The following is a 27,096-nucleotide window of genomic DNA, read 5'->3' as shown; positions in this document are numbered from 1 at the left end:
TTTAATGAAATTCTCTATACACTGAAATTCATATTTCCATTAAATTTAATCTTTGGTAGATTATTGATGTATTAGGATTGAAAACCTAGCGTAGCTACCCATACATATATTTCAAATAAGAATCTAATAACATATTTCTTATTGTTTTCAGCAATTTTACACTATCTTCATGAACTTGCCATCCTCATATCAAACTAAAAATTTAGTGAGGACAAATATTTTACTGTTTTTCTCTTTAATAATATTTCCAGAATGTTTATAGAGCATTTATGCTTATTGACATAATCAAGGTAAGGAATATAAGTTTTAGAACTTGAGATTGATAACCTCAGAGTGATTGAAGGCCATCAAGTAAGATTCCATGTTAAAATACTACCAAGAGTCCAGGGAAACCTAAGGTACATATTTCATGATCAGATTGATAAAAAGTATTTCAGTTGCTTGTAGTTGTCACTACCAAAGGGTATTGACCTTTATGACTTCTATTTATATTATTTGGAACTTCAGGAAATTGACATTTTTGTTAAACAAAAGTAGTGAAATATCAGCAATTTTAAATATGTCGACCTAAGATTTCCTTTAATCTCAGCTTGCATTTCTGATATCAAGTCTAAATTATAGATATTATTGTAGTATACAAATTGTGAACAGAAGGAACTATAGATTCCTTTTTGTCTTCCTTGCTTCCTCCCTCTGTCTCTTCCTCTGTTTCTTCCTCCTTCCCTCTTTTCCTCGCTTTTGTCCCTCTTCCTTTTTTCTTCTCCCTTCATTCTTTTCTTAATATTGTAACAATTTTACATTTCTGCTTTATGCCTTCTTGCACAAAATTAAAAACTAAAAAAGGCAGGAATTTTGTTGAGGTTTACAAACTTAGGCGGAATGATAGTTACTTAAGCAAACAGCACATCTTCATTTTAGGATTTGACAAGTTATGTTTTTTTCATCTTGGATTGTCATTAAGATGAATGTTTTTGGAAGTCAGAATTTTGTGTTCTTTTTACTGCCATTACTTCTTAGCAATTATACAGTGCATCATTTTTCCCTACTATATGGAAATACTGAGAACATTAAATGAGATAATACACATAAAAAGCTTACCAACATGTCTAGCACATATTGAGCAAATAAGAAGTATCACTAATTATTTTCACATTTCATTATGAACTAACATAGCAAAAGAAAAAAATTATAATGAACTGTATTGTTGTGGTGATGGTTGTCATTTTCCAATTCCTTCCTCAAGTTTCAAGTTTGCTTCTTAGAAGCAAAACTTTTCCATTTTGTCTCTGGAATAAACTCATGCTTGTCTTTAAGACAGTATGTTGTGATGACGAGACTACTTCATTTGCAGTCAGAGTCAGACTTCTTTAAGTTTCTACCATATACTTATGCTTAGATCTTAAACACTTATTTAGCATTTCTGGGGGTAATGATGTCAGATCCTATGTCTGCTCAAGGAATTATAATAAAAATCTTAAGAAATAATAGATGAGAAAATTATTCCTAAACTGAAAGTTTTACATATGTTAGTTGTTATTCCTCAAGTTACACTTTATGAAAAAGAATGACCTTTGCCAACCTATATTTTTCTCTCCATTTCTTTGAAAGCTAGACCAAATCTAAATAAATAATCGTAGGCGACTTACTGAAAAAGAAGGTAAGTTGTCTTATTATTTCACAACCTTGCTTCACACACCATAGGTCAACATACATTTATCTTGTATAGTTTTGCTGTGATTTTTTAATCTAACATGAATTTTACTTTACAGATGGAAAAATAGCCTAAAATTGTAAAAGCCATGTAATCACCTGATATTCTTATTTTCTTTTTTACAATCATAACTCCCTCTATTTCAAATCATCATCAGTATCTGTATCTTCTTTTTAGAGTTTATCTCATTTCTCTCTTTTATTAGGCTGGGATACAAAAATTTGTCCCTTATCCTAGAGTGGCTGTCTTGAATAGACTCTGCCTGTAATTTTCTATTCTTAATGTGTTATTGACCAGAAAAACAAATATTTAAACTTAACATGAAATAAAACCTTGTAATTAAACCTTAAATTGATAATTAATTTTTATCAACAACATAGTAACTTCAAGACAGTATTCAGCACTGTTCCCTATGCTTCAAATGACCGCTTGCCACCCCTGTCCACCTGAAGAGCTTCTATTCATGTTAAAATCCTGGTTTAGATATGAGATTTTTAAAAAAGTTTTCCTGATAATTTTTTGTGTTCTTTCTACTTCTGAAACTTGCTACAAATTACCTTATTAAATGTATTGCCCAACACTAAGTGATACATCATTGGTGCTCTTATAAGAAGACGAAATTTGGGTACACAAGTAGACACCAGAAACATGTGCAAGCAGTGTGGTGATCAAGTGAAGACAGGAGTAAGGCCGCCGACTGCAAGCTGGGGGAAAGGCCTCACAAGAGACCAAGTCTGGCGCAACCTTCATATTGAACTTCTAGCCTCCAGAATTATGAGAAAATTTTCTGTCATTTAAGCCAACCAGTCTGCGGTATTCTGTTTTATGGAAGCCCTAGAAAACTAATACAACTGGGGACAAGGAGATCTGGGGAATAGACATACAAGTTTATGGACACTCTACAATTTGGTAAGCAAGAGGCACTAAACAAACCAGTGCACAGAATGGCTTGGCAAACTAAAACCAGTCTCTTTCATCAGCCATTGTAGTATGAGCACATTGTAGTATAAGCACACTGACACATTAACAATGTGGCCACGCTGGCAGAGATGGAGGTTATGCATGGTGCCCAAAACATGAATCCTCGTTCAACAAAAGCTGATCTACCTACTACCTCTGTAGAAATCTCAACCTTCCAGCAACTGAGCGCTACACTGAGATCACCCACTACCCTTCACCAATATGATATTATTGATTCTACTCAATCAATCAATCAAGGTGGAAGGAATAGCTTTTGAGTAGAATCAAAGCATATCTTAGGTGTGGGTTTCCCTTTCTTGCCCACATCTCTTCAGCTAGCAGCACTCTCCAAGAAGTAACCAAGTCTTTGATCCACTGACACAGAACTTGGATAACATTACATAGAACTGATGGCCATACTTATTATCAAAGGAGGTACATCAGTGGACATATGATCACAGGATACACTGGTTTAATTACATACCACATTACCCAGAAGCCTAATGAATGGGATTATTTTTAACAGTATTTAAATACATTAAAATGTTAAAAACAGTATTGAATACATTTAAGTCCTCTCTATCTGAATATATATATGTTATATATATATAATGTATATAAATATATGTATATAATATAAAATCTCCTTTCTGTATTAGTCAGTGTTCTCCAGAGAAACAGAACCAGTAGGATGTATGTGTGTGTATGTCTGTCTGTGTGTTGTATGTGCACACGTGTGTGTGTGTGTGTGTGTGTATGCAATTGGAATTAGTTTATGTGATTATGGGAGCTGACAAGTCCCAAGATGTGCAATTGGCAAGCTGAAGGTTTAGGAGAGCCAAAAACGTACTTCCAGTCCAAAGGCTGGCAGCATCAAAACACAGCAAAAGCTGACGTTTCAAAGTCTGAAGGAAGAAAAGAAAAACAAAAAAACAAGCAATGTCTCAGATCAAAAGCTGGCAGGCAGAAGACATTCCCTCTTACTCACAGGTGGGTCACCCTTCTGTTCTATTCAGGACTTGAACTGATTGGATGGGGCCCACTCTCACTAGGGAGAGCCATCTACTTTACACGGTTAACTGACTGAAATTTTCACCTCATCAAGAAACACTCACAGACACACCCAAAATAATGTTTGACCCAATGTCTGGGGAGCCCATGGCCCAGGCAAGTTGACACATAAAATTAGCCATCACACTGTCTTAACCTTACATCACCCTTCAACATTTGCCCTATTTTATTCTTAAACAGTACAACTATATTGAATAAAAAAAGATATCTGTACTTACTCCCCTCCTTTTTATACATCATACTTTTTCCTTTCCCATTGTTATATACCTTTCATTCTCAATATTTCACTTTTCTTTTTCTGTGCCTTAGAAGGTTCTTAAGTGTTGAATTCCTCCGTGTTTGATTCTGGCTTTCTTTAATTCCTAAACACTTCCTAGGCAATCCATGGCTTCAATATGCCACCTATACACAAAAAACTTCCAAATTTATGTCTCTTTTTTCCCTTGGATTCCTCAAAGTCACAACAAAATTACATGTGTAAAACTGACACTAGGAACTATGCCTGCTTCCTTTCATTGTCCCTTCCAACAGCAATGGTAACAATAATCATCTCGTCTTCCACTGTTCTCAATCCCAGTCAATACTTTCATCATCTTCCTAGCTGTATAAACCATATATCCTAAAGCCATTTATTTATTTGTTTATTTGAGAAGGAGTCTTGCTCTGTTGCCCAGGCTAGAGTGCAGTGGTGTAATCTCAGCTCACTGCAAACTCTGCCTCTGGGTTCAAGCGATTCTCCCACCTCAGCCCCACCATGGGTAGCTGGGACTACAGGTGCCTGCCACCATGGCTGGCTAATTTTTGTATTTTCAGTAGAGACGGTGTTTCACTATGTTGGCCAGGCTGGTCTCGAACTCCTGACGTCAAGTGATCCACCAGCCTCTGCCTCCCATAATGCTGGGATTACAGGCATGCTAAAGCCATTTCTGACATCTCATTCTTCCTCACCCATGAATTTATTTATCAAATCATGTTTATTTGACCTCTGTATATATCTCAGGTCTGTTTCTTCTCCATTTCCACTCCCACTCTTGTTTGAATGAGCATCTTTTCTGCATTCACCATTGAATTGGTCTCCCTGCATTTCACTGTCGGCCTACTTCAAAGTTTTCTTCATGATGAAGCCAGAATGGTGGTTCAAATTGCAAATCAAATAAATGTCTAGATATGGTTTTTAAATTTATATAAATTTAAAAAATTTACATACTGTGCTTTGTACTTTGTATACATGAAACTAATTGATGTCAATAATGTATATAATTTTTATTGAGTCTCCATTATGTGATATACACAACACCAGTTACTGGAAATTCAAAAAGTGAACAACATAAGGTCTCTGAGCATAAACATTATGGTCCAGTGGGAGAATGAAACTGGTGAATAGCCAATTCCAATGCTGTGTGATAAGTTCTCTAATAGGGGTCAGCTCGGGTGCTATAGAATCACAGGAAGGGCATCCAGCCCATTACTGAGCATTCAGAGAAGGCTTTTATGGGGAGGTGACTTCCACCTGAAGAAAAATACGAACTGAATCAAACACCAATGGGCGACTATCATTGTGACCAGGGAGATCAGTTGAGTCATGTGGTTGGCCATATCATTTGACACATTAAGGACGTTTTCTAGGTTATTGTGAGAGTTAAAAATAATCATGAAGTAAATACCAATGATAACAGTAGACTCCATACTTACACACATATTAAGTATCAGTTTACAAAATCCTTCCGAATATATTAACCCATTTAAGCTTCAACCCAGTGCTACTGATGTCAAGATAGTTTTTTGTTTTGTTTTGCTTTTTCCCCCACAGAGCCTATAGCATAAAAAGCTTACAGAGTGAGTGAATGTTAGAATCTGGAATAGCACAGTCCAATTCACCTTTTCTATAAACAGAATATAAAATTCTGTCATCTCTAAATGGACTTAGTTGATCTAATGTGTATAAGACTGCAGATTTTCAATTAATACCAAACCTTCATATTTGTCTTTTCAAGGATATTTAAAACTTTAACTTTTAATTTAAGTGTTGATTGTCTTGTAGTGAACCATTCATGATATGGAGTCAATGTTTAATGATACCAGGTGGATCACCATAATTCCAGATTAACTACATCCCACTGACACAATTTCTTCCCCACCCTGCTGCCACCTGTCTGGTACCAAACCTGCTCAGCTGTGGAAACTGACAGCTGGTTCTTCATGGGGGAGTAGTGGGAGCAGGAGCCAGGTGAAAATGGCTCATTAGCAATGAAATGAAAAAAATATGCAGACTTCCCTGTAGATGTTTTGGATGATGCTCCTCTCTGCCATTGCCGATTGGAGAGTTAATTACAAAAAAAAAAAATAATTCTCAAAAGTTTTTGAAATTACTATGATGTGATGCCATCACATTAAATCAATTTATCTTTATTTCTTCAGCTGAAGTTTTTGTTTTGACATGAATCATAGCATTAGTGCTGAAAGAAAAATATTCTGACATTTTTGCTTTCTGAGCATGTCCAGGGATGTTGTTCTAGAAAGAACCCCAGGATTGGGAGTTGGCATACTGAATTCTAATCATTAATTAGCTGCATAAAATCACATGCTTTCCTTAACTTCTCTGGACTTCAGATTATACATGAAAACAACAGAATTAAATGGCCACAATGATTGAATTGTGCTTAATTATAGACTTTCTTCTGTCCTTTTGGCTTTATTTACTTAAAGTTATCAATAGAACACTTATTTCTCTCAATAAGAATACTTATAATGTACATGTAAGAAGATATTTCTCTTACATTTATGGGTTTTTATGCTGTTTAAAAATCTTTTCATTGTGTATATGAAACGTTTGAAATGTCATTAAAGACAAAGTTTTATACTTGGATTTTGAAACAGAGTTTTCAGTCTAGGACCACACCACCCAGAATCTGCCCAGATTTGTCTGAAATATGGAGGTGACAGAAAAGTGCATGTGGAGACAACCCAGTTGTTATAAAATTAAAAATACAAACTCTTTTGTAAAAAACTCATCTGCTATAAAGCATTAGCAATTGAACTATTTATAGAAGTTTTCTTTTTTTTTACAGTAAGTTAATTATTGTAGAAGGGCTCTTAAATATCCTTTAAATTTTAGAAAATTTATTATGTTTTGCTAAACATTTTTCCTATTTTTAAGATCAAAGCAGTAGCAACGCTAAAATCATAAAGAAGATTAAATGTACGAAACAAGTTATCAGTGCATCGTGGCTCCTTGATATTTAAGCAGTGTTATATTCTTTTCAGGACCTTGATTCTCTAGAGTATGTCAAAATGTTAGGGATACGCTTATGTGCCAAGAATCACCTTGAAACCACCAAGACAGACTGGAAAGGTTCCCAAAATGAGCTTTTCCAAAAACCACATCTCACCCTTTATCGTCTGAACTCGTTTCTCACATATGTGCACTTGTCTTCTGACCTTTCTCATTTCCTGATGGCTTGAAGCTCTGCCATTAGCAGCAAGCACTAGAAGTCATATTGCTACATCTGTCACTATTAGTTAAGAATACCATCCAACTTCAAGATAACTAGAAATTTTCTCCTATAGTCCTTTTTGGCTGCCTCAGTGTAGGGTCAAAAGGGCTGTCTGCAGCAAGTAACAGAGCACGGAATTGGTTGCTGAAATATTTCATTTCATAAAACCATGAACTCCCAGCCCAACTTTGTTACTGCCATTTGTCACGCATTTACCACATGTGTCTTCTGTCTTGAAAAAATAATCTCCCCTAAGCCCAATGTCATGGAATAAAACTGCTTTTCAGACACCAACACAAAAATCTTCGCAAAGGACATAGCCAACTGAAGTCAGTTTTAACAGACTTTATTCTCTTAGGGTGCTGAGAATCTGAGAGCAACTAAAGCTGAAAAAGATCTTCCTTGCTTTTCTACCACTGGCATCGCAGCTGTTAGCACTTCTGGTGTCGAGGTACAAATGTCAGGAAGGTACTGTCAGTCGAGTAACACCCATGAAAAACAGCCTGGCAGCCTGGCTGGCAGCCAGAGCCCGCGATCATTTCTTTATACACGGCTCGGAGCTGGACTTCTGTTATCACTATTTCCTCCGATTGCTCTTAATTAAAGCAGAGAGATTTGCTTCACTTCAATGAAATGAAAGGGTCTTTTTCTTTTTTTTTTTTTGACTCAGTTCAAAAGAGTAATTTCAAAAGTGAAGACTAACTGAAGTGCTTAGAATATTATGGTTCAGCTTTCTGTAATACATTAGCATGTGTGCCCTGGGAGAAAATGGCTTGAATTAAAATTTGTTCCCCAATCCTCCACCGAAGGGTCGTCTACTGAAAATAAAATACACCTGAAAACTTATTAAAACATATGAGAGATATACAACACCTAAATGTTTATTTTCATCACTCTATGAGTCTCAGCGATCATTACCTAGATATACTGTAGAAAAAAATTGTCATTGAAATAATTTCTCAGATTTTAAGAAATTCTAGAATTTACTATAAAAATGTATAGGCAATTTTATTATACCCATTTCCCTCTAAAAATCTGTGATTTGATATTGGTACAACGCTATCACTGCTAAGGAGTAGGAAGAATATGTCTTTTTCGAGGGATGGGACTCGAGGGATTTGAATGTTGACAAACTTCCTGCCATCATCAATTGCCTTATGATTTGTAGTTGTCAGCTTTCATCTTGGATACGATAATTAACTAACTATTTTATCAGAATCTACAGGATGATGCCCTTGGCCTTGGAGCAAATCTAGTGGACATTCTTTCCAAGGACATCTGCTACCCGCGTTCATAATCAGAAAACAGGAATGGTTCCTCTAGAAACAAAAAGTATGCCACCTTTATCATCCAAATTAAAGAACAACTACCAGGGGCTTTACTTCCCACAGCCACTTTCCATATTTGCATACACATATACCCATGAGGCACACAAATCCATTTACCTCTCTATAATTTGCGTCATTCTATCGACTCTATAATTTGTGTCATTCTATTGTCTCTTCTTTCTATCATTCAACTCTTGCTAAGGTTACCAGTGGCTTTCTAATTAAAAGAAATACTCTATGAAAAAAAATCACTGGCTTGCAATATATATTCAATCCCTGTGTAATCCCTGTCACCTTCTAATTTTCAATATCCATGGCCCACTCCGCGATTTACATTCTAAAACTTTGTCTATTCAATATACCCATATAGACTTTCTATATGCTTTCATACCATCCCATAATTTTTACCTTTTTAATATTATCTATTTTTTCCTATGCATTCTTGGCTAAAGCGAAATAAAACAACACAAAATATAAAGTAATGTTCCTTGTCAATTACTTATTTTTTTATCCCAACTATTTCCATCTAATAATTGACTATGTTCTGTTGATGACTCAGAAGTAGGTGCCAAATCTGGAATTTTCTTTTCCATCTCCAAAGTTCAACCTGGTGCTTTCCTCACTCTGGCAATGGCTGAAGTCTGCTAACAGTTCTTCCTCTTCCTCTTTCTCTAATTCCATCTTGCCCTTTAAACTATAACATGTTTATGGTTTCCTTACCAACAAGCCTACAGTGGCACACTTAGGAACAGAAGCATTTGTAGGCTTCCCTTTGCCCACAAAATAATGTTCAGAATGTTTAGCCTGAGGTCATTTGTAATACTTTTTTTTTCTAAATCATTATCTGATAGTTCAGTGAACTACTTATGCTCAGTGAACTATTTATGCTCAGTGAACTACTAGCCAGACCAAATGCTTTTATTCTTCCATGACTACTAGAGGGTATTCATCACTCTGCCTAGAATAAATATCAATGTCTTCTCTACCCTTAATTACTTAATTACTTAATTACTTTAATTGCTACTTAAAGTTTGGTCTGAAGAACAGCAACATCAGCATTACCTAGGAGCTTGTTAGTTAAAAACACAGAATGTCAACACCCCGTCCCCCCACCCACAGAGCTACTGAATAAGAATATGCAATTTTTACAATATCCCACTGTTTATTATATACAACAAATATTCTCTTCTCTGAAGCTACTTTCTTCTTTATCTTCCCACTATATCTTTTTCACATCCTACTAGAGCATCCATCTTAAAGTGTTATGGATATTTTAATTACACATGTGCACCTCCTCCCCATCCTCTTCTTCTTTCTCCTCCCCTCTCTTCCTTTCCTTATTCCCCTCTCCCTTTCTCCTTTCCCTACCCTATTCTCTCACTCACTGTTACTTAATAGCAGTAGTAGGGATAGGAGTTATTGTATTAACCCATTCCTCTGGCTGTGTGACAATCAACTGCTTGCATTTTTCCTTTCAATCCGGTGGTTTCACCTGCTCCATAGAAAGATGCCTTTTCTCTCTCCTTTGTCTAGACAGTAAAATCTCTCACTATTTAATGATGAAAATAAAACTAGCCTTTACATAGTCACTACCGAACAAGTGAAAGTAGTTATTTGGAATGAGATGCTCTATGTCCAAGTGTACATGGTACAGCATAAGCACACCCATAGAATAAATGAAATGGCACTTCAGAATGCTTCATGTAGTAGACTAATAGAACATACTTTTTCTATCAAACTGCATCTGTATAGTTGTGAGATATGGATAGCTAAAATATTTCAGTTCCTTAAAATATTTTATAACACACCAGTATGCACATCCTACTTGGGCTAGCAATGTATTAATTATTGTTCAGCAAATTTACATGGCATAATTTTTTATATATTATGTTATGCCACCCAGAAGCTATATATACCCTCAAAACTGTCATTATTATATTAATTAATATTTGTTGACTATTGGGATATTGAAATTTGTTTATACACGTCTAAACAGCTTCACATGTCACCTTTTACCAACCCCCTTTGGGCTAATTTGAGTTTAAATCTCAGGTTTGAACTTTCTGACTTATGTCCCAGATACCTTAGAGGCAGCTAGTCTTCACCATTCTCCTTCATTTGTAGCCTAGGATATGCTTGTCCTAGAATGTCATTTATCAGTAAATTCCTTATTGGGTCAAGAAAGTCTACGATACGACTAAGGATGAAGCAATATAAACTGATGGCAAAGTTTTTGCAAGCACAATATATACTATTGCAGCTGCAAATCATTAGAATAAATATTTGCTGTTCAGTTGTTTTGATTATTATAGACACAGTTTAAGTGGAGTTTGTTAAATAGAATTTTAATCATGAAATAATTATTACTAAATATTAATTTTATGTGAATTAATCCTTCTTGTAAAGGAGACAAAATATTCCTTGAAATGTACACTTTGAGATAAAGAAGTATATTTTATTTCGTATACAGAGCATCTTTCCTGTGGTAAATTAAATTCACTGGAGCAGATAGGATCCCCATAAACCATAAGTAAATAATTTTCTCCTCTCTTTCCCTATGTGAGAATTTCCCTGCTGTTTCAATGTTAGTATGTTCTTAGCAAATTTTCAGCTGTCTGTAAAAAAAGTCTTAAGTCTAGAATAAGTTAGTGGATGGGCATTTGTTCTTAAAATTAAAAATTCAAATAAAAATGTATTAATAACATTACTTTTATAAGCAAAAGAAGTGAAAATCTGTGTGAAAGCACAAATAATTCAAGCTGAAAATGGGTCACAATGATTTACATATTTCAAGATAATTTGTTTTTACTCCTGAATCATGACGTACATCTGTGAAGTTATTTTACTGGAGTAATCTTACATCATAACTGTTAAAGCCGATTTGATTTCTATTTGATTTCTATTCATTGAATATATTATCCTAGAGAAAATAGCAGTGATAGAAAAAAAAAAAAAACTTCAAATCTTGGATTGCGTGAGATGTCACCTGAGAGGAAGGCTAATCTGTCTATATACGATCGAGTATAATTGAGTGTAGTGTAATTCCAGGTAGCTCTGGGTTTTCTACTTTTATCTCTTACTTATTAGCTCGTTCTATTAAAACCACTATTTTTGTCCAGCCTATGAATAGAATGAGTACCTTCATTAAAATCTTGTCTCCTTCACTTTTTAATAGAAGACCAGCAATTACATCCCTAGGCTTCCAATTGTTTAGGCCATTTATTTGCTGAGGCTCCTGGGGAAAAAAAAAAAATCACTTAATTTCTCTTAAATCCTTTTTTCTTCTCATTTATCATGTAGGATTTTTTGGAATATAATAACAATGGGTAATATTTATTGAATACTTACTAAAATGTTGCAGAATGTTCTAAGCATTTCACACACACTATCTGAATTGTCTTACAGCAATCCTATGCAGAACAGAGATATAGAAAGGCTACATAATTTGTCAATACCATACAATTTGGCATAGAGAGACTGAATAGAACCAATTTTCTTAACTGTCTGACTATATTATAATGCATTCTGCTGAATGAAAAGGAAGGATATTATAGCAGAAACAATTAACTACCATTCGGAGAAAAAATTGTATTTCTTGCAGGTCATGCATTGTGTAAAACACTATTATTGAATATTTACAACAATCCCATAAAGAAGTCAGCATTATTTTTTTAACACATAAAGAATCGAAGGCTCATACAGGATATATAATTTGCCTCTATTCAAAAAGCAAGTAAGTGACAAGATAATTTTTTAGAGGAACATATGTTGTCTTTAACCCCGGTGTTTCATATTATATGTATTTCCCTCTCAAACACTGCCACTCCACTGCAATATTTGAGGAGGCAAATGATATGGATAAAATTGTTTATGTATTATTTAATTTATTTTTTGTTTTGCTTTGTTGTTGGATTGATGCAAAATATATATTCATGTTTTATCAGAACACATTTTCTGTACTACATTTCTGATATTTCATATCACGTGATGCAACCCAGTCACAATCAAAGAATGAATTTGTGGCCACTTGAAATTTATCTCCTGGCTAACCAGCAGTAGCAGTCAACAAAACAGCCAACCAAGGTGATTTCTTCAGAGGTAGTAGCTTAGGAGGTATAAAAGTCTGCAAAGAATTTGGCAAGTTATACCTGTAGATAGTAAACAGGCCTAAAAGTAATTTTTAGGGAAAGAGAAACAACTGAAAGAAAATATTTCTTAATCATCTTCTGGGGCTTTGAGGACAAAGAGCTATAGGTGCTAGAATATTATATACACAATTAATAATATGGTCAGTTTTAATACTACAACAAACTAGCATAAAATAAAAGATACAATTTTCTTAAAATACTAACACTATTGATTTAAAGAGTTCGACTTTTTAAAAAGGCTTATTTCAAGAACCACTTGAAAATAAATTTGACATTAAGTATTATTTATACCTTTGGCAAAGGTCAAAGTAAGAGCATTTGGTTTAATAACACTGGAGCACTCTTTGACTCTAGGGACAAATTTTAGGAGAGCATTGTGATGAGGTTTCAGAACCCCTTCCCTAGTGAAAGAACCACAACTGGTGAAAAATATTAAACAAAAATGAAATCTCTGGAAATTGTCCTAAATTGTCACTCCTCAACTCATTTGATAAGGTCAACACAACTCTGAAGCCCAAATATGACAATGGTATTCTTAAAAAAAAGCAAATTGTAGAACAATAACCCCTTATATATGGACATTAAAGTATTTGACAGAAATTTAGCAAATCAAATCAGATAATGTAGGTAAAAATACATCATGACCCAGTGGGAAAGAATACCAGATGGTGTTCCTACTTAAAAACTAATCAGGCTGGGTGCGGTGGCTCATGCCTGTAATCTCAGCACTTTGAGAGGCCGAGGCGGGCGGATCACAAGGTCAGGAGATCGACACCAGCCTGGCCAATATGGTGAAACCCAGTCTCTACTAAAAATACAAAAATTATCCGGGCGTGGTATCGTGCACCTGTAGTCCCAGCTGCTCAGGCTGAGGCAGGAGAATTGCTTGAACTTGGGAGGCAGAGGTTGCAGTGAGCCAAGACAGCACCACCGCATTCCGGCATGGGTGACAAAGCGAGACTCCGTCTCAAAAAAAAAAATAATAAATAATCAACCTAATTCATTACAGTAAGATAATAAAGGAGGAAAAAGGTATATGCTCATCTTAATAGACACAGAAAAATATTTGCCATAATTCAACCAATAGAGAGTCACCAAATATGAATTGTGATATTTTCATATAAATAGGCAATTCATAATAGTATATAGTCTATTATTTCATTTATATTAATTTAAGAAACATGCCAAACCCATCATTGTTGCTATAAATCAGGAAATGGCTACATGTTTATAGTGTGTATTGAATAAAAGTATCACAAAAATACTTCTCAATTGACAGAAATATTCTATGTTTTGATTGGGATAGTGGCTTATAGGCGTATTTATTTTTCAAAACTCATTGAAATGTGTATATAGATGTGTTTCAATGTAATAATGTGCCTAAAAACAAATAAAAGGGTAAAGAAGGGCAAAAAGGTAAATTGTATTATAAACATTTTACCAACGTAATAATTAAACCATAATTCACTATGTGACTATGTCAATATTTAAGAGTGTTTTATTGATAATTTATCACGCATCAAGTTTTTCAAGATTTTAAATAATACTATTATAAATGTCTTTCTGAAAACATATTTGTTTATAGTTCATAACATTTCCTTGGAGTTGGATTTCATAGAAGTTGAAAAATTTTCACTATTTGATGCATATTTCCAAATTTCTTTAAAATTACTATATTATTTCCTTATAAATTATTAATCAGCATTGTATGTGTCTTTCTGTAGATATAAATATGTGCAGATACTTATGCGTGCGTATTCACAACTTTTGAGGCAAAATTGGCATACACTAAATTGCACATATTTGAATTGTATAATTTTGCATTTAATTATACCTGTACACCATGAAACAATCATCTCAGTCAACACTGTAAAAAGTGTCCTCATATCTCTTTGGAATCTTTCCCTCCAAAGTTATCACCATATAAAGTCATATAATATAAATGAAAATTTTAGCTGCTGATCTGTGTTCTGCACTATGGACTCCTTTTTATTTTCCATCATTTTATACAATCGAGCTATATTCTATAATCTCTTTTGTTTGCCTTTCACGCAGTACAATAACTTTGAGATTAATGTATATTAATAGTTAAATTTTTAAAAAAAACTTAATAAAACAATTGTTTGATTAATATTATCATATAAAACAACTGACGGCTGTCATTGGGCAACCATCGTAGGGAATTTTGGAGTTGAGATGCATAAAATGAGTCTTGGGATATTATTCTGGGCTTCACTGTAGGTATTTAGATAGCAAACATGGAATAGTGGTATTGATAAGTGGAAGTTGGAGCTGCTATCAAAGACGGAATGTGGATAAGCATCCCATCTATTTGTTGAAAATATTTCTTAGATCCTTGGACAATTTCTGGACTGCAAAAGCACAGAGAAAGACTATGGAAGTTCACAAGGCAGCAGCTGCTGGGAGGCAGAAAGCAAGTGAAGAATCAAGAGTCTTTTGTTGTTGGGAGGGAAATCATTTTTCTGGTTCATCCAGAATGGAAAGATTTTAGCGGATACGCTGTGCTTTCCAAACTAATACAGGACTATCTTAACAAAGCTAACAGTGGGACTCTTCAGCATCAAGGTGCCTACCAGAACAAAGTGAAACATTTTTTTAAGGAAGGATCCATGATTCAGAATTTCAATAGTTTATAAGTATCACTTGTAACCTCCAGAATACAAAAAAAAAAAAAAGAAATAGCAAAAACAAAACCACCCAACACTCTAGATATTTAAAAAGAAAAAGTGACTGATATTAATAAAAAGTGATAAGATTATTAACATGCAGGCCTATAAAAACTCCTGATGTTGTAGTTAGCAGAAAATAATTTCAAAATAACTATGACTAGCATATTAAAGAAACAGAAAAACTATAGAAAATATGTAGATGATGAAATATTTTTACAGAGAATACAATATATACAAAATCAAATGTATATTTTGTATAAGGAATAAAATACAGTATTAGGAATTAGTAAGTCATTGGATGGGCTTAAAAGCAGATTCAACACAGTCAAAGATGATATCAATACATTTGAAGACAAGTCAATAAAAATATGCAAACTGAAGCTGGGAGGAAAAAATAAGAATGAGAGGAACAGAGCATAAGTTAGATCATGTCACATGGGCAGAAGTACTAACATAAGTGTAACAGAAATTACAGAATAATAAAAGAGATATTGACTGGGACATTATTGAAACAATGTTAGGACAATATTTATTGGACAAAATCAATATTTGGAGAAATAACGGTTGAATATTTTCCTGAAAGCTTATAGTAATTCATATTTCCTTTTGGGAGAATTATTAATTTGTGTTCTTAGTATGTTTTCTCTTGGTATTTTAATATTTTCTTTTCCAGTTCTGAAAGTTCTATATTTTATGTTCAATTTTATAGTATCCCTAGCCTCAGAAGTCAATTCTCAAACTTATGTGAGTCCTTATCACATTCCAATATAAAAATTTCAGGCTCTCAATTTCTCATACAGTAGTCCCAAGCTCTGCTCAATATGGTACTACATCCATAGCAAAGTTAGCCCTTCACTTCTTAGCTTTTGAAGGCACTTGTACTATACCTATATTACAACAAATATAATGTTGTTTTGCTTACTGGTCTGTTTCTTCTACACTAATGTGATCTTTCAACAGCTCTTTATTTGTTGCTTTTCTGTAAATATTTCTTGAACTGATGGAAGAATAAAGGAAATGTATCATAAAAAGAGGAGTAAGAAGTTATGGTTTCCAGTAGTACTAGAAAGAAACAGGAAGCAAAAGCTGCAGAGACTGGATTGGATGTTCTCCATTATCCTGACAGTAAATTAGCTTTTCATTTGAATGTTACTTTCTTTCAGAAGAGTTTGATGCATTTTAAGTTGATGCAGCAGTGCATGTTATTAGAGCCAGGAATCATAAATTATTCCTTAAATCATTGAGTCTTGGGAAAATAGAAAGCCAATGAATCACATACTATTTGAACATTGATTTAGTTTCTGTGTAAGCCTATGCTGGTTTGGGTGTATGTGTTTGGCTCCAGCAGGTCTGCATACTTTCTAATTTGCTTGAAAACTGCGTGAAAATATTCCCATGGCCCTCTTGTAAAATATGACAGCCTGACATTTTCTTTAATTACAAGACCCGATCTGTTTAATAGCAAAAAATTGGCCTCCAACTTGACAGGCCTCCCATTTAAAATCAATGGTTAGACTCAAGGGCACCAGCTTGGTCATCAAGATCAATATTAGAAAAAATATAGCTTGTCAAGACCTCTCAGCCTTTTATTGATTCAAATGGGGAGCAGCTCACAGATTGAATCATGATATTAGAGCTCTGATTCAACAAACAGAAGACTGTTACATTAATTTCAGTATAGGCAGATGAATCTGTGATAAACGACAGAAGTATAATATAATTATCCAAGATATTATAGTTAGATAAAGCTGAATGTTTTCAGGAGAAAATATGCATTTTTTGAATAGATTTCTTTAGACTGTTCACCAGGTGAACTAAATAACAAGTGTCATCTTGTCTTACTAAAAACAAAACAAAACACAACAAGAACAAAAACACTAGAAAGTCATCTCATTGTTACCAACGAATAGAAAGAAAAGCACCATGAAAAGAAAAAAAAATACTGTGAGACAACTTGAAGTTTTAGAAAGAATATTTAACTTGAACGAATTAATCCTTAGTTCTAGTGCTGGATAATTATTTGTTACAGTGATCACTGAACATTAGCCTTGATTTTCTTGTATGCCATATGAGGCACTAGGAAAATATTTAAATACTATTCTAAGACTCAGGGAAAGACCATACAACAATTCATGTTAATTCTTTTCATATTTCATTAGGGATCAAAACGAATCTGTATACTTATTATCTCATTTTCACTTCTAATTTGAATGCTAATAGAATGTAGGAATGATAGGTCACACCAGTGGAGAATGGGAAACTGAAGTTGTTCTCAGGAAGATGTTTTGCCTTAATACAAATAAATTTACAACAATCAGAAAAGAGAGTTTATGACTTCTTAATACTTTTAGAAGTTTAATATGTTGTACTTAGCACTATTGAACAGAATACTTAAAAATGATTAACATGGTTAATTTTATGTTATGTGTATATTATCACAATAAATTATTATTATTATTATTATTATTATTATTATTATTATCATCATTATTTTTGAGACGGAGTCTTGCTCTGTCGCCCAGGCTGGAGTGCAGTGGCACGATCTTGGCTCACTGCAAGCTCCACCTCCCGGGTTCACGCCATTCTCCTGCCTCAGCCTCCTGAATTTTTTTAGTTAAAAAAGAGATTAAGGATTTTTGTTTAATTTATATCTAAAAGTTAGAGAAATTCATATTAACAATTCAAACTCTGAAACAATATATAATCTATATTGGAAATATCTACAGTGTGAGCTAATTGAAGTTATTGGGCACTATGGTAGGTATTTTATTTTCTTTACCTCATTTACATATCTCATATTTACCTTTTATTTACCTTGTCTATACGCCTTACATAATTACAACTTTTTTTGTCCACTATCTCATTTTTTTGTGTGAATGCACAATAACCCTAAAAGATAAGTATTATTCTACAAATGAGAAAAATGAAGCTCCTATTTGATAAGTAAATTCCCCAATGTCCAGAGATAATAAATGTCACACCTTGGATTTTAAACCAATTGTCTGACACTTGGATCCAGTTCTTCTACTGTGTTACAAAGCTTAATATCATTTTGCTTATCTTAAAGTCCTAAAGGACAGCTCTCCACTATATTACTTAAGTTACATAGTTTCCTGAAAAATTTGGTAGCTTTGGATAAAATTTCAACATTTCAAGAAATTGTATGAAATTTTAGTTCTTCAATGTATCTTTCTCATAGTTCTTCTAGACATCTTTCAAGATAAAACTATTTTTTTTCTTTTTTTTTTGAGGCGGAGTTTCACTGTGTCACCCAGGCTAGAGTGCAGAGACGAGATCTCGGCTCCCTGCAACCTCCACCTCCTGGGCTCAAGCAATTCTCCTGTCTCAGCCTCCCGAGTAGCTGGGACTACAGGTGCCTCCCAACATGCCCAGCTAATTTTTGTATTTTTAGTAGAGATGGGGTTTCACCTTGTTTGTCAGGCTGGTCCCGAACTCCCGACCTCAGGTGATCCACCTGCCTCAGCCTCCCAAAGTGTTGGGATTACAGGTGTGAGCCACCACACCTGGCCAAGATAAAACTCTCAAACAAAAAACAGAGCTGCACACTTTTCTTCTTATTATATAAATGCTAAAATGGCAATTCTGACTAGCACTAACATTGCTGTGGATTGTTAAATTGCCCATTTATTTTACAGAGAAAAATTGTTTTTTTGCAGTTATCTGAAAGACCGTATATAAAAAGCCTAAAGGTAGGACATTTTTAATATATCACATCAAAGAAAAAACTGACCTAGAAATTTCATTCCTTATTTTGATACATTTTAAGCATCAATTTCCCAGAAACTTTACCAAGTGACAAATTCTTTTTGCTTTATTTAATTAAAACTTTACAGATTGCCAGCTTTTGCTGTTTGTGAAACTCAAACAGATGTTAACAAGCATCTCTTCTGTTAGAATATACTAGGAATAGAGTACCTATTTTTCCCATGACACTTTACACTTTACTGAGTGATTTATTCATGTATTCTTTTTTATCTCATAATTCATTCAGAGAGACAAAGCCCTTATTAAGGCAGTGTTCTAATTGCTGTGTTTTATTTTGCTTTTGTCTGAGGGTAACACAGTTTGCTTGCTCCTAGAGTGATGTACTTCCCTCATTCTGGAATGCTTATGGTTGGAAATTTCTTCTAAATCAACCACTTTGACATTGTTCTGTAAAGAGGGTATTCTTAAGGGTTACTGGATAGGCATGGGAAAGTCAAGTAATATCTAAAATATCATTACCCCAGATCTGTGGGCTAACAGATATATCTATTAGTAACCTTTGCTGAGCATGACATCCTCTTTCTTTTCCACTTGATCTACTTATTTATTTAGTCAAGTAGAGACACAGTCACAACTCGTAGGGAGTCAAAATTGATTTCTCAATTCTTTCTGTGGGCAAAGGCCTTGTGAACCTCACAATAGAGATGACCATACTTCAGGAGTGAAGTTATTGATTGTTTCACAGTAAGAATTGCGGCAAACAATTTGTTTAATCTCACTGGACATCAAGGAATTTACCATCTAAAAGCACAACACTGAAACGTATTTCAAAGCATTTCTGTGATGATGGTGGTTAAGCCATTTTCAAACCCAAGGTAGTGAGTGTGAGTTTAAAAATTTTATTGTGAGTGAACTGCATCCAGATTTGTAAACAATACCTTGAAAATTTGAATTATTACCAGAATAACTCTTAGATTCTCTCCAGAATACAGAGGAGGGAGAACATTTTTGCAAGGAGTTTGGTATTAGACCTGATTCATTCACTTAAAGAAATGTCAACTTCTTTGTCCCGTCAAATGGAGTACTAAGACAAATTGATTTATATGTGAATGATTTTAATCAGATTATTTTCCTTACACAAAGTGTACTAAGGAAATATATATTTTTTTGATGGAAGGATCTATAGGAGATGAGAAGTAACTCTGTAATATGAGACTGTTTAAGGTAAAGTAGGTTTGGAAAGATCAGTCCATTTATAGTGTTTGGTGGGGGCATTAGATTACCAGGCAGGAACAATGAGAGAGGTCCTGTGTGAAGAACGTTAGGGCACTTCAAAGACAAACATAATATATTTCACAAATTTCTCAGGCTTAGCTTTGCTCTCGTCATTTATTCTCCCAGATCAAGAAAAACTGTCATTTAGCTTGAAATCATTTTAGGTGTCGTGACTTCCCAACAACAAGGTACATGAAGACAAAGGACTTGGTGTTGAGACAGACATTAACATGGAAGAAACTTCTGAAGGACCACCCCCAGATGAAGGCCATGCTGAGGAGATTATTCAAACCATTTTTTAGGCCTCCACAAATATGTTGCTTATTAGACACTATGGTGTTACTAAAGGATTAATATAATCTTCAAAGAAGAAATTATGCAGGTGGGAATGAGGTGATGTCCTCAACATAAGTACTGACAGCCCTGTTAACTTTTTAGAACTTTAAATATCAACCATAGGCATTCTTATGCAATCACCAAAGAAAATGTGAAAATGTGGCTCACCCCCAGAGTGAGAATCACTAGTACTGATGAGAAATTCTCAAGTACTTGAATACAGATCACTGGAGGGAACACAGCACTGGTGTTTTCAGCTAAAGAAAGCAGAGGGTACAGCCAGTGTTTAGTAGCATGTAATTGAACTACAGAGATATTAGTTTGGGTCAAGATTTTCTATTTCTTTCCTCCAGTTTTAATCTCGTGTGCCATTTCCTATCTTTGGTAGGTCACAAGCTAGATATAATTATGCTGCCATGTAATCATTTGCTCTAATTTGCATTAAATTGGTTTGAAGATAAATGTGTCTCAAATCTGTAATACTAATTAATAATTGTACAGTCATCTACTATTTAAAATCATGTGTTCTAAGTTTAGTATTTTATATTGTAACACTATCTGTTCAGAACATTTTTTAAATAGTGAGTTAAGCGCTTACAAAAATTATGAGCATACCAGATATTTCAACATATGCATATAGTATAATAACATTTTCCTAACATTTAGAAATTAACTGTCTTCTAAAATCGATAAGCATCTTAATGCATATGGGCTGTAATACAAGGTCAATTGGATTCTAGTGAATAAATATATATAAATACACATGCACTGGATGCATAAAACTTTATGGTTCATGTCACTGCAAAAACATGAATAATGACTAGTTATTTATATAATTTTGTGTGTTTTATCTCCTAAGAGCTATGAAATCTCCTGAAAAATATTTATAGATTGCAGGTATATGTACATGCAATGTTGTATACCTGTTTCTTCAAGTATAACTAATATATGTATAAGCTATATTAAATATTAATATTTACTTAATATTAAATAATATTAGTGAAGTCTAGTGTTCCATTCCATTTTGAGAAACTTCTAAACACCAAAGATAACCTTTTCAATATTTCTCATTTTTGATAGAATTCTCAAGTATAGGATTAATAGTTGTTGTTTTCTAAATCTTCATTGAGATATATTTCACATACCACCATAATATTCACCCATTTAAAGCATGCAGTTCCCTCATTTTCAATGTATTAAGGCTTGCAAAGTTACCACAAACTAAATTTAGAAAATTTTTAATGTTTCTAGCATACAGAAAAGACAATTATTTAAGTGGTGGATGTACCATTTACACTGATTGGACCCTCACAAATGATATGAAGGTATTAAATTATCACATGTATCCTGAAAATATGCATATGTATTATGTATCAATAAAAATATAAACAGCATACCATTTAGTAGTCACTTTCCATTTCTTCCTCTAAGTTATCTAATTTTTAGTATACAATTGTAAATAGTATTTTCTTATCTTTTTATTTCTATAAGGTCAGAAATGATGACTTTCTTTCATTAATGATTTCATTAAATTGTGTTTTCTTTATTTTTATCTTGGTCATTTTAGCTAAATATTTGCCCATCTTGTTGATCTTTTCATCAAACCAACTTTTGGTTTCATTGACTTTTCACTATTGTTTTTATATTTCCTGTTTCTTACTTTTCAGCTTTAATATTTATTCTTTTTTTCCTTTTGCTTGCTTTTAACTTAGCTTGCTCTTCTTTTTCTTTTAAGTTGGAAGATTATTTATTTGAGATCTTTCATCTTTTTTAATATAGAAATTTATAACTATGAATTTCTCTCTACAAACTGCTACAAATGTATCCGACAAGTTTTGACATATTGTGTTTTTCTTTTCCCTCATTTCAAAGTATTTTATAACTCCTACTGAAGCTTTTTGTCTTTGGCCCACGGGTTTTTTTAGTAGTGTGTTTTTTATTTTCAAATATTCAATTTTTAAAACTCTCTTCTCTTTTTCATATTTAATTTAATTACATTGTGTTTTGAGTCCATACTTTACATGCTACCAATCATTTTAAACTTATTTACGATTGTCACGTGGCCTAACTTACGGTCTATCTAGAAGTTTCATGTACATTAAGAAGAGTGCACATTTTTTCTGTTATTGGGTAGAATGTTCTATAAATGTGTAGACTAATTGGTTTATAGAATTGTACATGTCTTCTACTTTCTTGTTTCTCTTCTGCCTAGAGGTTCTATACATTATTAAAAATGGGGTTATGTTCTCCAGCTATTTTTTCATTGTCTATGTTTTCTTTCAATTCTTCCAGTTTTTGCTTCAGGTATTTTGAGACCCTGTTGTCAGATGCATAAATACTTATAATGATCATATCTTCCTGATGAATTGATACTATTTTTATAATACAATGCCCCTCTTGTCTCCAGTAACAATATTTGTCTTATAATTAATTCAGTCTGATCTTCGTATAGCCATTCCAGTTCTCTTGATTATATCTTAAATGGGCATATCTACTATGATTTTACAGTTGATCTATTTGTGTCTTTGAATCTAAAGTGTATCTCTCTTGTAAATCTTGGACCTTTTTTTAATCTTTTTTTTTCAGTTCAGTCAATCTCTGCTCTTTGGGGTATTTAACTCATTTTTACATTTAATGTTATAATTCATAACGTAGGATTTGAATCTGCCATTTTGCTACTTGTTTTCTATGTGTATTATTATTTCTGTTCTTAGATTCTTGCCTACTTTTGTGTCAAATATATACTTCCAGTGTTTCTCTTTTAATATTTTACTGTATTTTTTGAGTTAGTTTAATAGTGTCTGTGCTAGGAGTTATAATTAACATCTCAGTGCAATCCAATTTGGATTAATACCAACTTAATATCAATAGTATACCAAATAATCACTCCAATATACCTTAGGTACTGCTCCCCACTTTTACTATTAGGGCCATAAAAATTATATTTTTATATATTATAACCCCTTCTACACAATAATGTTACAATTATTATTTTATGAAATTGTCTTTTTGAATAGACAGGAAGATGAAAGCATCATGTTTTACAAGTTTACACTGTCTTTTATGATCTCTTTATTGTTACTTTTACCTGCCCTTTTTGTTTCTTCATATGTACTTCTGTTACCATCTACTGCTGTTTCATGTCAGCCTGAAAGATTCTCTTTACTATTTTTGTAGGGCAGATCTGCTGGTGATTAATTCTTTCAGTAGTTTGTTTTAAACCCAGAGATATCATAATTCCTCTCTTATTTTTAAAAGAGAGCATGGCTGAATACAAAATTTTTGATCGATAGTCTTTCTTTTAACACATTGAAAAGAAACTACAGGCAAATATCCTGATGAACATAGATACAAATATCCTCAACAAAATACAAGCAAACTAAATTCAACAGGATATCAAACAAATAATACACCATGATCAAATGGGTTTATTCCAGGTATGCAAGGATGGTTCAACATATACAAAACAATAAATGTAATTCACCACATGAACAGAATAAAAATGAAAATCATATGGTCACCTCGATAGATTAAAAAAAGCATTAGATAAAATACAGCATCTCTCATGATAAAAATTATCAACAAACAAGGCATGAGAAGAAACGTATTTCAAAATAATAAAAATCATATATGACAAACCTACTGACAACATCATAGTCAATGGGGGAAGAGCTGAAAACATTCCCCCTAAGAAGTGGAACAAGGCAAGGACGCCATTTTCACCACTCCTATTCAACATAGAATTGGAAGTCCTGGCCACAACAATCAGGCAAGAAAAAGAAATAAAAGGCGTCAACCTGTCAGAATAACTATTATTAAAAAGTCAAAAAATAACAAATGTTGGCAAGGATGCAGAGAAAAGGCAATGCTTATACACTGTTGGTAGAAATGTAAATTAGTACAACTTCTATGGAGACAGTATGGAGATTTCTCAAAGAACTAAAAATAGAACTATCACTAGATCAAGTAATCCCATTACTGTATATCTATCTGAAGGGAAAGAAAACATTATATAAAAAAGACACCTACACTTGTATGTTTCTCACAGCACTATTTCAAATAGCAGTCACATGATATGTCCCTAAACAGGTGATTGGATTAAAAAAATGTGAAACACACACACATGCGCACACTATGGAATACTATGCAGCCATAAAAAGTATGAAATCATGTCTTTTGCGGCAACATGGATTGAGTTGGGGACCATCACTCCTAGTGAAATAACTCAGAAACAGAAAATCAAATACCACATTTTCTCACTTATATGTGGAAGCTAAACAATGGACATATATGGGTATACAATGGGCAATAAGTGACATTGGAGACCATTCCACATGTCTTTGAGACTCTGTTTATTTTTCTTTACTTCCTTTTTTTGGTTTGTTTCTTAGACTGGATAACCACTATTGGTTTACCTCTAAGTTCACAATTCTTCAATTCTTCCTTTTGCCAGTTCAAATCTGTTTTGAGCCCTTCCAGTAATTTTTTTTGTTAATATACTTGCCAACTTTATAATTTTTATTTGGTTCCTTTTTATAACTTCTGTTCCTTTACTATTATTCTCTATTTGTTGAGACACTGTTATCATGTATTATTTTTATTCATAATACATAATTTCTTTTAGTTCTTTGAACATAATTAGTACAGCTGATTTAAAGTCTTTTGTCTAGTAAGACCAATATCTGTACCCTCTAAGGTATGTTTTCCGTTGGCTGTACTTTTCTTTCTGTATATGTGGTATATTTTCCTTTATTTTTTGGTATGTCTTGTATTTTGTTTATGTTGTTATCGAAAATGTGAAGTTGAAGATAGAAAAAAGAAACACGAAAAGCAGATCAACAATTCAAAGACAGGTTTATTTTGGAGAATAAACCCAAGAGGGGCTTCTGGCTGATTTTGGTCAGGAGCATTCTCTCTTACAGATTAAGGGTATTTAAGGGTTTAGGAAGAGAGCTTTTCACAGGCTGAAAATGTTTTTGTGTGGAGGAGAGTTTTATTGCAGGGTTGGAATGTCTCTGGTTGGAGGGGAAGTTACCTAGGGGCTGGCATGTCTCTGGTTGGAGGGGGGTTTATCTCAGGGTTGGAATGTTTCTGGTCAGAGGTGTCTTTTGAGGTTTATGATTATGCTGACATTAGCCATTAGGGTGATGTTTTTTGGGCTGGATTTAGGCAGTTTTTAATCAAGGGGAACTTAAAATGGCAGTGCCTATCTGAGATGGTGATGTTCCTGCTCTGCCAGAAAACTGGACATTTTAGATAATATATTATAACAACTTTGGTATCAGATTCTTCCATCTGTTAAAACAAACTAAATATGGCCTAAAAAGATTCCGTATTTCTATATTTGAGTCCTTGTGGTTAAACTGTAACCTAGCTTAATAGCCAGACAAATGCGAAAACCTATCTTAATAGTATGCACCTGTTAACAGTGGCTGAGTGTCGACCAATCCCAGTGGCCATACTTCAACCACTCACAGACTGCAGAATGTTTAAACTGCGTTCAAATAAGGCAAAAGCCAAGCTGTAATCAGTCTCGCTATTTCTGTACCTCACTTCCTATTCCTGTATGTCATTTTACCTTTTTTGTCTATAAATTTGTTCTGACCACGAGGCACCCCTGGAGTCTCTGTGAATCTGCTGTGATTCTGGGGGCTGCCCAATTCGCGAATCATTCATTGCTCAATTAAACTCCTTTAAATTAATTCTGAAGTTTTTCTTTTATCAGATGGTACCAGAAGTGGAGCTTCTAGCGACCCCTAGGAGCACTGAGTGAACACGCAAGGTACCTACAGGGCCCACTTGGGTCCTTTAATCTCTCAGAGCAGCTGGAGATCATGGATAAGCTCCCTCTCAGATTTCTGAGCTCCACGGATTTGTGTTTTGAGTTCTCCGAGTTTCTTTGAGCAAATTTCTGATCCAAACTGGGTTTGGAGTCGCAACAGAAACTGCACTGGGTCCAGGAATGGATTTGATACAGGAATGAACTGGCTTGGATCCAGTTAGAGACCTCTTACATCTGACTGGGAGAGAAAGAAACTGGTAGTAAGCGCTAATATTGCAGGGGTTATAAAATTTGTCTTTTGAAAATTCCCAGGGATTTTTGTGTTTTACCCCTTTGTTTCATTTTTCTTGCATGCTGAGGTATGAAAAATCATTGGCCAGGTTAATCAAGAGAACCTGAGATCGAAGCCAGTATTTTAGGTAAAAATGGGATCCTTAGTTTCTAGAAAACTGAGTTCCTTCTGGTTTATTCATTAGGCCCGGAAGGCAGTGAAGTCTTACAGAAATGGCAAAAACTTACTAATGATAACTTACAGTGGAATGTTCCAAGTGAACAACAATCCATTGAAGTACATT

General features: G+C 33.9%; 1 protein-coding gene across 11 annotated transcripts in view, besides 2 other annotated features; it reads right to left on the bottom strand.

Annotated features, from left to right (window-relative positions):
• Nucleotides 1-27,096, bottom strand: part of CNTN5 (contactin 5) — a 1,337,937-nt gene that overhangs the window by 1,034,255 nt on the left and 276,586 nt on the right. For 2 of the 11 annotated variants that reach the window (XM_017017926.2, XM_017017927.2), the window contains exon 2: nucleotides 11,704-11,799. The exons of the other annotated variants lie outside the window; for them this stretch is intronic. The gene's annotated coding sequence lies outside the window, so the exon portion shown is untranslated. The remainder of the gene's footprint in view (nucleotides 1-11,703; nucleotides 11,800-27,096) is intronic. 11 annotated transcript variants of the gene reach the window in all.
• Nucleotides 1,774-1,943: an enhancer, noted in NCBI's record as "experimental_22214 CRE fragment used in MPRA reporter constructs". NCBI's record gives its function as "activates a minimal promoter by MPRAs in K562 erythroleukemia cells, with activity observed for the introgressed 11:99193504 variant allele {active_cell/tissue: K562}" and the evidence as "EXISTENCE:reporter gene assay evidence [ECO:0000049][PMID:34662402]".
• Nucleotides 10,349-10,518: an enhancer, noted in NCBI's record as "experimental_22201 CRE fragment used in MPRA reporter constructs". NCBI's record gives its function as "activates a minimal promoter by MPRAs in K562 erythroleukemia cells, with activity observed for both the introgressed and non-introgressed 11:99184929 variant alleles {active_cell/tissue: K562}" and the evidence as "EXISTENCE:reporter gene assay evidence [ECO:0000049][PMID:34662402]".

This window comes from Homo sapiens, chromosome 11 (assembly GCF_000001405.40).
Source record: "Homo sapiens chromosome 11, GRCh38.p14 Primary Assembly".
In the NCBI taxonomy this organism is placed as follows: domain Eukaryota; kingdom Metazoa; phylum Chordata; class Mammalia; order Primates; family Hominidae; genus Homo; species Homo sapiens.
This window is presented reverse-complemented; position numbering and strand designations above follow the sequence as displayed.